Source organism: Homo sapiens, chromosome 5, assembly GCF_000001405.40.
Source record: "Homo sapiens chromosome 5, GRCh38.p14 Primary Assembly".
Classification (NCBI taxonomy): domain Eukaryota; kingdom Metazoa; phylum Chordata; class Mammalia; order Primates; family Hominidae; genus Homo; species Homo sapiens.
In genome coordinates, this window is record NC_000005.10 from 21,621,644 (window position 1) to 21,634,778 (window position 13,135).

Here is a 13,135-nt window from a genome sequence, read left to right on the forward strand (position 1 = left end):
TCAAGTAACTTAGAAAATGTAAATGCTTATCAGATTGGTAGAAACTAACCCAGCTGACTTTCAATTCACATGACCTTGGTAATCTTTGGTAAAAGTAGTTTAGTAAATTTAATCTCAATAACCTCCAGTAATTTAAAATCTTAAAGTCACGTTAAACCCTCGAGTTTCCCCCTTGCCACTGGAAATTTGGGTTACTAAAAAGTTAAAAAAGTAGGAGATAAAATATGCTTTTGGTAAAATTGTATAAAACACAAAGATGTCAATATTCAAAAATGCAGGTTTCCTTTTGCTTAAGAAACTATTATGAGGAGTTGCTTTATAATGAAGAAAAGTATACAAATAAAACTAACTGAATTGGGGAAAAAAAAAAAAGAAAAAAACAAGCCAGGGCAATGGAAGTTTACTCTGAACACTGTGGTTCCCAAGAAAATAGTTGATATGGAGGAAGGGTAAAACAAGTAACTATGTAAAACCAGAGGGTATAATGTTAAAAATAAATAAATAAATAAATAAATAAATAAATAATTACATACATTGATATCATTCAGCTTCTTAATTTTAAATGGTACAGAATTTAAGAGCTGGTTTGGATTAATGCAGGACCCACAGCTCACTACTGAACAATCACTGATGAGTATATGTGATCCAAATGCACAGGGGATTATTCCTGAAAAAGCAAGCAGCCTAATGGGCTGGATAAATGCCAATGTAAGGTCTGTTTGCTTTGAGAAGGGGACTACCCAACTCTCCCTATAAAATACTAAGGGAAGCACCCCAGATGAAGCAGTTAATATGCTTCATGTGCAAGCCATGTTGGACTAGCTTTATGGTAACTGAAACACCCTCCCACCAAATATGTCTATTACCCAAGTCGTGGTGAATTTGAGGGTTAAGGGGTCCCTTTTTCATGGGTGCCCGTCCCATAGAATCACAGGACTGTTTAAGAAGCCTTATCAAATTTGCTGTCCCTCATAGGTCTAACAGATGCAACTCCCTGCTGGGAACCCAAATCCTTTTATTTTTTTTTTTCACCAGAAAAGGTAAAATAGTTATCTGAAGATGTTATATATATATAATCTGGGACCCAGAACGTAAAAACATAAAGGTTGATAAAATTATGAAATTTAAGATGTTTAAACAAGCTTTATGTAAGGTAGTTGTAACCCCTTTATGAAAAGTCTTACGAAAATGGGTACTATATCTAACTGGGAGATGTTTCCTAAACTGAAGACATATAAATTTGTTCTTTTAAGAAATGTTAATTGCACATGCTAAATGGGAACTAGTAAATTGCCTGAGCCCACAAAATACAGGGTAAAAGTTCGACTGCTAGTTGGGACAAATCTCCACTGCATAGCCCTTTATGTGGAGCTTTTTTCAGGGCTGATACCAAACATTATGAGTACTTTTCAATAACGACTGAACTAGAGAATTTCTGCTTAGGGCATTTACTGCCTTGCTATGGAACACTAACTGAAGCTACCCCTATGCTAATGGAAACAAAGTTTCTCAAAAGAGTTCCATGATAAAATAAAAATGGTTTACATAAAATCTTGCTACCTAATAAGCAGGAGACTCTTTCCAAAGACTAATTATGAGGAGCTGCTAAATTCCACAGTGCCTAATAGGCACTTCTCGTGAGCTGCTTGGTTTGTAAATGGAATTTCCAAGGTAAATCAACGTCTTGTTTTAAAAGCTGCTGCTCTAGTTAAAGAAGGGTCAAAAAATATTTTGCTTTTAAGTTATTTGGGTAACATATGTTTTTATAAGCAAGTTTACCTTTTTGTCTAAGTTCTAAAATTCAATTTGTAATTTTATGACAATATAGTTATCTGCATAAATTCAATGAGAGTATTTTGAAACAACTGGAGACACCAGTTATTTTTCTAAGACTTTAACTAAACTAGCGTATTTGTAGGTAAAGTTCAGGCAAGGCCAACTTAAAAAAGCCTCCATGGCCAATCAATTCTTGCTGCATTCTATGCAAAATAATCAGACTGAATTTAATAAGCCTAAAACTTATTTTGTACACAAAATGGTCCTGCTATAATATCTCTTTAATTAAAAAAAAGCTCAATAAATTGTTTCGAGGGAAAAGCATAACACCTAATGCTAAATCTCAGCCCCAACTTTTTTTTTTTGAGTGCAGAATAAATCATTATTTATTGGCTACAGTAATTCTCCAGAGAGTACCAGATTATAATTTTTCTTCATATTTTTAGTTGGTGCCCTAATGGAATAGTTTATTTTCCTGTTCTGACATACAAATTAGTCTTATAATTGTCAAATTATAAATGTTATTTATCTCTCCTTGTTTGACTTTCCAGGATACCAAAATCATCATACCAGAGACATGAATCTCCCTCATTTGGCATCCCAGGAGGCCTGGATCAGTTTCACTGTGAATGCTCCGCCGCTCAACCACACAAGCACCCTTCCTCCAGGCCCAGGGGATACTGCAGAAGAGGTGGGTGCATAAGATTATAAGGGCCAGTTTTGAGGGATAAAATTAGGTCAAGATCAAACCCTCCAAATCAAGAAGGGGTACAAATATGCCTAAACAACTAGTAAAACAAGTTTAGTTGCCTTCTAAACAATTATGTATCAACTTTGCATCCACCCCAACCACAGAGAATTTCCTGCTTACTATAGAATTAAAGAAAAACATTTCTTTACAGGGTAAAAATACCTTGTAACAAAGCTTCCTGGGTATAATATTCTACTTATAAGTTAAGAAGATAAATATATATATATTTTTTAATTATTTTCAGAACAATGCTTATTTTGTATATAGATAATTGCCATAAGTCTGTACCAAAAACCAAGTTTACAGTAACTCAACACATAGAGGTTAGAAATAAGTCAGTCTCATAATTTTGCCTTTTGGTTTTGTTTGTTGGCTTTTTACTTAAAATAACAATATTTTATATTACACTTTAAGTTCTGGGATATATGTGTAGAACGTGCAGGTTTGTTACACAGGTATACACGTGCCATGGTGGTTTGCTGCACCCATCAACTCATAATCTATATTAGGTGTTTCTCCTAATGCAATCCCTCCCTTAGTCCCCCCACCCCACAACAGGCCCCAGTGTGTGATGTTCCCCTCCATGTGTCCATGTGTTCTCATTTTTCATCTCCCACTTATGAGTGAGAACACATGGTGTTTCGTTTTGTGTTCCTGTGTTAGCTTGCTGAGAATGATGGTTTTCATCTTCATCTATGTCTCTGCAAAGGACATGAACTCATCCTTTTATATGGCTGCATAGTATTCCATGGTGTATATGTGCCACATTTTCTTAATCCAGTCTATCATTGATGGGCATTTGGGTTGGTTCCTAGTCTTTGATATTGTGAATAATGCTGCAATAAACATATGTGCGCATATATCTTTATGGTAGAATGATTTACAATCCTTTGGGTGTATACCCAGTAATGGGATTGCTGGGTCAAATGGTATTTCTGGTTCCAGATCCTTGAGGAATCGCCATACTCTCTTCCACAATGGTTGAACTAATTTACACTCCCAATATCAGTGTAAAAGTGTTCCTATTTCTCCACATCCTCTCCAGCATCTGTTGTTCCCTGACTTTTTAATGATCACCATTCTAACTAGTGTGAGATAGAGTATCTCTTTGTGGTTTTGATTTGTGTTTCTGTAATGACCAGTGATGATGAGCTTTTTTTCATGTTTGTTGGCCGCATGAATGTCTTCTTTTGAGAAGTGTCTGTTCGTGTCCTTTGCCCACTTTTTTATGGGGTTGTTTATTTCTTGTAAATTTGTTTTAGTTCCTTGTAGATTCTGAATATGAGCCCTTTGTCAGATGGATAGATTGCAAAAATTTTCTCCCATTCTGTAGGTTGCCTGTTTACTCTGATCATAGTTTCTTTTGCTGTGCAGAAGCTCTTTATTTTAATTAGATCCCATTTGTCAAATTTGACTTTTGTTGCCATTGCTTTTGGTGTTTTAGTTTTGAAGTCTTTGCCAATGTCTATGTCCTGAATGGTATTGCCTAGGTTTTCTTCTAGAGTTTTTTATGGTTTTAGGTCTTACGTTTAAGTCTTTAATCTATCTTGAGTTAATTTTTGTATAAGGTGTTAGGAAGGGGTCCAGTTTGAGTTTTCTGCATATGGCTACCCAGTTTTCCCAACACAATTTATTAAATATGGAAACCTTTCCCCATTGCTTGTTTTTGTCAAGTTTGTCAAGGAACAAATGGTTGTAGATGTGTGGCATTATTTTTGAGGCCTCTGTTCTGTTCCATTGGTACCAGTACCATGCTGTTTTGGTTACTGTAGCCTTGTAGTATAGTTTGAAGTCAGGTAGCATGCTGTCTCGAGCTTTGTTCTTTTTGCTTAGGATTGTCTTGGCTATACAAGCTCTTTTCTTGGTTCCATATGAAATTTAAAGTAGTTTTTTCTAATTCTGTGAAGAAAGTCAATGATAGCTTGATGGGGATAGCATTGAATCTATAAATTACTTTGGGCAGTATGACCATTTTCACCATATTGATTCTTCCTATGCATGAGCATGGAATGTTTTTCCATTTGTTTGTGTACCTCTCCTTGAGCAGTGGTTTGTAGTTCACCTTAAAGAGGTCCTTCACATACTTGTAAGTTGTATTCCCAGGTAATCTATTCTCTGTTTGTCTGTTATTAGTGTATAGGAATGCTTGTGATTTTTGCACATTGATTTTGTATCCTGAGACTGCTAAAGTTGCTTATCAGCTTAAGGAGATTTTGGGCTGAGATGATGGGGTTTTCTAAATAGACAATCATGTCATCTGCAGACAGAGACAATTTGACTTCCTCTCTTCCTATTGAACACGCTTTATTTCTTTGTCTTGCCTAATTTCCCTGGCCAGAACTTGCAATACTATGTTGAATAGGAGTGGTGAGAGAGGGCATCCTTGTCTTATGCCGGTTTTCAAAGGTTTTCCAGTTTTTGCCCATTCAGTATGATATTGGCTGTGGGTTTGTCATAAATAGTTATTATTTTGAGATACGTTCTGTCAATACCTAGTTTATTGAGAGTTTTTAGCATGAAGGGGTGTTGAATTTTATTGAAAACCTTTACTGCTTCTATTGAGATAATCATGTGGTTTTTGACATTGGTTCTGTTTATGTGATGGATTGCATTTATTGATTTGCATATGCTGAACTAGCCTTGCATCCCAGGGATGAAGCTGACTTGATCGTGGTGGATAAGCTTTTTAATGTGCTGCTGGATTTGGTTTGCCAGTATTTTATTGAGGATTTTCACATCAATGTTCATCAGGGATATTGGCCTGAAATTTTCTTTTTTTATTGTGTCTTTGCCAGGTTTTGGTATCAGGATGATGCTGCCCTCATAAAATGTGTTAGGGAGGAGTCCCTCTTTATTTTATTGTTATTGTTTCAAAAGGAATGGTACTAGCACCTCTTTGTACCTCTGCTAGAATTAGGCTGTGAGTCCATCTGGCCCTGGGCTTTTTTTGGTTGGTAGGCTATTAATTATTGCCTCAATTTCAGAATTTGTTATTGGTCTATTCAAGGATTCAACTTCTTCCTGGTTCAGTCTTGAGAGTGTGTATGTGTCCAGGAATTTATCCATTTCTTCTAGATTTTCTAGTTTATTTGCCTAGAGGTGTTTATAGTATTCACTGATAGTAGTTTCTATTCCTGTGGGATCAGTGGTGATATCCCCTTTATCATTTTTATTGTGTCTATTTGATTCTTCTCTCTTTTCTTCTTTATTCATCTGGCTAGCAGTCTATCTATTTTGTTAATCTTTTCAAAAAACCAGCTCCTGGATTCATTGATTTTTTGAAGGGATTTTTGTGTCTCTATCTCCTTCAGTTCTGCTCCGATCCTACTTCTTTCTTCTCTTCTGCTAGGTTTTGAATTTGTTTACTTTTGCTTCTTGAATTCTTTTAATTGTGATGTTAGGGTGCTGATTTTAGAACTTTCCCACTTTCTCCTATGGGCATTTAGTGCTATAAATTTCCCTCTAAACACTGCTTTAGCTGTGTCCCAGAGATTCGGGTATGTTGTGTCTTCCCAAAGGCTTTGTTTACCCTGTGAGGGGAAAACCACCTACTCAAGCCTCAGTAATGGCAAGTGCCCCTCCCCACACCAAGCCCTAGCATCCCAGGTCGACTTCAGACTGGTGCGCTGGCAGCGAGAATTTCAAGCTAGTGGATCTTAGCTTACTGGGCTCTGGAGGGGTGGACTCCACTGAGCTAGACCACTTGGCTCCCTGGCTTCAGCCGCCTTTCCAAGTGAGTAACAGTTCTCTCTTGCTGGCATCCCAGGTGCCACTGGTGTATGAAAAAACAAAAAATAAAAAAATAAAAAGCTCCTGCAGCTAGCTTGGTGTCTGCCCAAATAGCCACCCAGTTTTGTGCTTGAAACCCAAGGCCCTGGTGGCATAGGCACCCTAGAGAATCTCCTGGTCTGTAGGTTAGAAAGACCATGGGGAAAGTGTAGTATCTGGGCCAGAATGCACTGTTCCTCACGGCACAGTCCCTCACGGCACAGTCCCTCACTACTTCCCTTGGCTATGGGAGGGAGATCCCCAACCCCTTCAGCTTCCCAGGTGAGGCGATGGCCACACTGCTTCAGCTTGCCCACCGTGGGCTGCACTCACTGTCTAACGAGTCCCAATGAGATGAGCTGGGTATCTCAGTTGGGAATGCAGAAATCACCTGCCTTCTGCATTGCTCTTGCTGGGAGCTGCAGACCAGAGCTGTTCCAATTTGGCCATCTTGATAGCCACCTCCTAAAATAACAATTTTAAGAGGTAAATGAATGCCTGTCCACATCCAGTTGTATCTGACCTACAACAATTAATTGGCTATAAGTCTTTTGATTCTTAAAGCCCTCAGCCATAGGGAGTCCCACCAAGGGACAACGTGGACCCAGAGTAGGCAGTCATGCCACTCTGCCAATGCTATGGGACAGTATAAGTATTGCTGGCCTTTGATGCTGCCTCTGGCAAATCTTGGCCAGAAGAAGGAGAATTTAAACCAAGATAAATTCTAAGGCACCCCTCCAAAAAAAAATTATCTAAAAGGACTACCTTCTCAGCCAGGGCTCTTAAAATTTAACCTGAAAGACTGGTTCAGGCCATGAAGGGAAGCGGGGGTCAGACATGCCTTATTAAACCTCTCCGTCATTCACATCAACACAGACATTAAGTCTGATAAGAAACATTTTACAGCCTGTTTCTCTCTGAAGCCTGCTAGCTTCAAGCTTCATCTGCATGATAAAACTTTGGTCTGCACAACCTCTTATTTCAACCCAAATATTCCTTTCTGTTGATCCCAGTTCTCTAGATACACTCCTCAACCAATTGTCAACCAGAAAATGTTTAAATTTACCTGTAGCCTGGAAGCCCCCACTTTGACTTGTTCTGCCTTTCTGGATCAAACCAATGTATTTCTTAAATGTACTTGATTGATATCTCATGCCTCCCTAAAATGTATAAAACCAAGCTGCACCCCGGCTACCTTGGGCACATGTTGTCAGGATTTCCTGCAGCTAGTCATGGGTGCATGTTCTCAACCTTGGCAAAATAAACTTTCTAAATTAGCTGAGACCTCTCTCAGATTTTCTAGGTTCACAAATTCAACATGAGTTTTGGATGGGGACACAGATCCAAACCATATCACCTAGAAAAACTAAATACACTCCACTGTTGCATAAACCCCTTCTTTTTCACGCCTTTGTTGTCTTCTTAGCTCAGTTTGAATATCACTTTCTATACAACGAAAATTCCAATGAAACAAGTGAAAATGACATTTCTTGTCTCTGAATTCTTTGAGAATGTTTTAATATAACCCCATATATTTATGGCACTTTCCTCTACTAGAATTATTATAAGTAAATCTTATCTCATTATGAGACTGTGACTTAAGATGCTTTTATTAAAGTAATAGCTGAATGATATTTAAATGAAAAAAATGTTGAAAAGAGAATTAAACATTGAGATATGTAGATAAGGCTGCAGGAAAGGAGATTAGATTTGAATTGGGTTTTGCAGTCTCAGTGAGTAAGCACGGCTTTCCTCCTCCCCTAGGAATCTTCCAGTTATATGAAAACTTGCTATTTTGTGTTTTTTGTAATTATGGGACTCAGGTCCCTTGCTCCAATATGTGATTGCTGTGTGACTTTTGTTGCGTTATTTACCTTTCTGAGTACCAGTTTTCTGGTCTTGAAATAATAATTATTATAGATATGTAAAAGGATTAAATGAGACAAACTTTCAAAGTTGCTATTTTCTAATAGTTACTGGTGGACTCCACTTCTACATCAAAAGTGTATCTTCAAGATTAGATTATTAAAGAAACCATGAATGTTATAAAAATTGCATTTGAGTCATTCATGATCTTCATTGTCCATATTTAATGCAGTCTACAAAAATAAACTTAAGAGAGAATGGCAGCACATAACTTGCATCCCATTTATCATTTCAGTCAGTAGTGGCTGCCTGATACAGCAGGAAGAGAAAGGTTATTGTGAATTAGCAACATCTGCCATTGTCACAGGGTGGGGACCTAGTAGTATGCCTGATATTTGCTATTTCTCAGAAGAAATGCTACCTACAAATGTGTCTTGCTAAAAATACAATAATGATAACAACAATAATATGATAATAGGAAGATCTAGTTGACACATAATACTTTATGCACTGATAAACACCATGATAAGTTTTAAGTTAAGGACTTTATATGCACTGTCTGACACATTTACTTTTCACTATTAGTTAGGAACTACTACACTCATTTCTCCATGAGATATGTGAAGTTTAGAGAGTTTAGGCAGTTACCAAAGTCATAAAACTAGTAAAGTTTAATCCTAGGTTTGTTTTGCAACATGCAGCACATCACCTGCCAGATAACAGCATACATACACCTAAATGGTGTTTTATGGTTTTTAAAGTACTTTCCTATACCTCACCACATTTACCATTTCAAAGTCCTGTAACAGGCTTGCAGTTGATAGGACAGATGATACAACTCATCCGACATGTCACAGGGAGACCAAAGGCTTTCCTTAAATTGATATTCATATGCCTGAGCTAGAAGCAACCTAATACAATAAAAAGAGTCAGAAGTCAGACACATTATTAACTTACTTGCTCATTCATCTCCCACGTAAATACGCATCAAATGTCTTCTATGTCACAGGCACTGAGTTTTAATTTGTCTTTTGCTTCTTTTCACCTGCAGGGCATTGAGCAGTTTACTGCATCATGATTTTTTAATATAGGGGGAAAGGACACCTATTCAGATGGATCCACAGTCAATCCTAATCTGGATTCATCAGTTAGAAAAATAACCCATTCACACAGTTCTGGTTACCCTTTTAATCGCCTGTTAACTTTAAAATTGTTGGTTAAAACAAATATTATTTAGTGCTTATTATTTGCCAGATGGTAATCTAAACATTTTTTAAAAATAGCTGATTTAAATTCCCTAATAACTCTATGATGTAGGTACCGTTGTTACCATCTCTTTTCTTTTTACAGTTTTAATCATTGAATCACAGAGAAGTGAAATGACTTACGCAAGATTACATACCTTAGAAGTGGAGGCACAATTATAACCCAAACACTCAGTTTTCAAATATGCTCTTACCACAATTTATAATGCATCATATTGTTGCTCTGAAGGTCAAATTAAACTAGATAATAAATGTAAAACACCTAACATAGATTCTGAGATATAGTAGATGTTCAGGAAATGCTTATATCCCTTTCTTGTGAGGCTACATTTTATGACTGTAAAGCTATGCCACACTGCTACCTCTAGAAATAGTTACAGAAATAAGAATAATTTGTCAGAGGGACTCTAAACAAAGAATTGCCTAATATCATAAAAACAGTGAAGAAGAAAATGTGGTTTCCTGTAAGAAAACAAGTCCCCTGTAGTCCTTTTACTTTTTTCCCTTTCTAGTCTGCATTTTTACAATATCAGCTCATTAAGCATCATTTCAGTGACTTGTGTTCATACACCATTTCAAATCTAGGTAGCTAATGAAACAATAAAGTATTTACATAGAAAGAAAAAGCAATATACATCCCCACTCTATATTGAAGTGTCTTGGAAATGGGGGAGACTACAATTTGACTATAAGCCTTTCCCTTGAAGTTAATTGACCGTTTATTCAGACTGCTTTTGAATTCAGAAGGTCCGCTGAGCATATATGCATATTACCATAGTCCTCATTCTTTGAAGGCCTGGCTAATTCACACCTCATTTGTTTATTTATTTTTGGAAATATAGATATGCTTATCATATACTTCCTTTACTACTGTTTGTCCAAAGTCTGTTTCCTTTAAGTTGTCATTTGTCAACTGGGAATTTGGCAATTGTAACGTTAATTCTAAGAGTTCTAGAATATTCTCAGACTGTTTCAGGGAGTAAACTACACGCACTAATCTCATAAAGAGGCCAGACCACTTCAGTGTAAGTCATTGTGAAGAGTTAAAGGATATCATGTAATCCATGAAAACTGAATCAAGACTGCTTAATTCTTTCATAACATATTTTGAAAGGACCATAATGTTTTATTTAAAAAAAAAATTCAACTTTTATTTTAGGTTCGGGGTATACATGCAGGTTTCATATGTGGGTATATCACAGAAAGCTGGGGTTTGGTACTAATGGTCCCATTATTCAGGTAGTGAGAATAGTAATTCAACCCTAGTCCCCCCCACCCTCCTTCCCCTATTAGTCCTCAGTGTCTGCTGTTTTCCTTATTTTACTTTATTTTATTATTTTTTGAAATAGAGTCTCACTCTGTCACATAGGCTGGAGTACGGTTGTAAGATTACATCTCATTACAGCCTCAATCCTCCCACCTCAGCCTCCTGAGTAGGTGGGACCACAGGCATACATCACCGTGCCTGGCTAATATTTTATTTTTATTTTTGTAGAGACAGTGTCTCTCTATGTTGCCCAGGCATGTCTTGAACTCCTGGGTTCAAGTGATCCTACCATCTTGGACTCCAAAATGTTGGGAGTGTGAGCCAACAGGCCCAGCCATGTTGTTCCCATCCTTATGTCCATATGAACTGAATGTTTAGCTTTCACTTATAAGTGAGAACATGTGGTATCTGGTTTTCTGTTCCTGTGGGAATTCAGTTGGGCTAATGGCCTCCGGCTGCATCCATCTTGTTACAAAGGATATGATTTTGTTCTTTTTTATGACTGCATAGTATTCCATCATGATTTTATCTACCAAAAAATAAATTAGAAATACCATTCAGCTTCATACAAGCTAAAAACTTTCCTTACTGTTGGAGAGCTGTTAGAAAAATATCCCTCCATTTTTCTTTCTTGATCAAATCAAATAAACACTTTGTTTCACTGGAAAGAGTAAAACAGAGTGGGGTAAATAGTGTGGAAGATTCCATCTGCCCCATCACTCAATTACTCTATAGCTTGCATATGAGAAAGGCATTCTAATAATTTGTTCCCTTAGTTGGCCTCATTTTATTTATATTTTGAACAGTGTAAACATTTCACCATGCTGCACAGGATTCCAGGTCTTAAAGATACTTCTGGATCCTGGTGTGGTGGCTCACACCTGTAGTCCCAGCACTTTGGGAGGCTGAAGCATGTGGATCAGTTGAGGTTAGGAGTTTGAGACCAGCCTGAGCAACATGGTGAAAACCCTAAAAATACAAAATTAGCTGGACATGGTGGTGCACACCTGTAATCCCAGCTATTTGGGAGGCTGAATCAGGAGAATCACTTGAACCTGGGAGGTGGAGATGGCAGTGAGCTGAGATCGCACCATTGCACTCCAGCCTGGGCAACAAGAGTGAAACTCCATTTCAAAAGAATAAATAAATAAAATAAAATAAATAAAGGTACTTCTTTTATATAATATGTCTCTCCAATGAAAGTTGATTATTTCCTCTGATGCTCAACAAAGGAATGGTTTCTTCTAAATGCTGAAGGAAAAAGAAAAAGCATATTTTGGACTAAATGAGCAAAGTTACACCTAAATAATTTTATGTATAATTTACAGGTCATGTTTTCAGTATTTCAAGGAAAAACAACATTAGTGGAAAATCTTAGTGGAACCATTTGAGGAGGATTAATGCTATTGTCAGGTTTCTTAGGCTGAGTTCCTCTAGAAGTAGAAACTGAGACAATGGTTTGAGTGCAAGTAATTTATTTGGATGGAATGCAGGCGACAATAGAGGAGAGTGTAAAAATGATATGTAATAGGCAAAAACTCAATAGAGTATATGTTACCAAACAAATTATTGCTATTGGTCCTGCTAGCGAGCTCAGGGAAATGTAGCAAATACCTAAGCCCCTCATGGGGTCAAGGAACACACTCCATCTGCCATTAGTTGAAGAGTTGATGGCCTCTGTGGCTGCATAGTATTCCATCATGATTTTCTGCATCAAAAAATAAGTTAGAAATACCATTCACCTCCATACAAGCTGAAAACTCCACTTACTGTTGAAGAACTATTAGAAAAACATCTTTCACTTCTCCAACATCCATTACTTCTACAACATTCCAAGAGTATCCTAAGCAGGTAAAGGACATGCTCACATGCCCAGAAGTAAAACTTTGAGAGAGCCACAGGTGTCTGCGGAAAGTGGCTTTGCCTCATGCAGACTTGCATTTGGTGGGAAAGTAGCCTCAGCAGTGCTGGCTCTCCCTGGTTAAAGGACACACGACAAATTAGTGAAAGCCTCTTTACATTCTTTACATGTCTTGTTGCCACCCTAATAATAATAATAATACACTAGAGAAAATTGTCTCTAAATATGTTGTGTTTACTCAGAAATAAAAACAAGAAATATAACCTGGAATGCATGAAGGGCTAAGCCACCAGTGCATTTGGGGAAGGAAAGGTAAGGGGAGCTTTCATTGGTGAAAAGAGAGTTACATAGCTGCTTAGAAAGAGCTCGTTGGTTTCAGAGGTTCGAAGTCAGAGTTGTCTGCTCATTGGTGGAGATGCCGTTACTGGGCAAGTGTTCTGAGAATGTCTCTGAATTACTGCAGTCCTAAAGACTGTCTTATCGAAGCATGAGATGTGTGAAGGACTCAAAAGGCTTTTTAGAAAGTCTTTGGAAATAGTTCTTACTTAGATACGTAAGCATGAGCCACCTCTCCTTCGGGC

At 37.5% G+C, this 13,135-nt stretch overlaps 1 long non-coding RNA gene across 1 annotated transcript in view; it reads left to right on the forward strand.

The window, feature by feature from the left end:
- LOC105374685 (uncharacterized) overlaps positions 1-13,135 on the forward strand; it is a 63,568-nt gene that overhangs the window by 8,736 nt on the left and 41,697 nt on the right. Inside the window, exon 2 of the long non-coding RNA XR_925848.3 lies at positions 2,328-2,467. This is a non-coding gene — a long non-coding RNA (uncharacterized LOC105374685). The remainder of the gene's footprint in view (positions 1-2,327; positions 2,468-13,135) is intronic.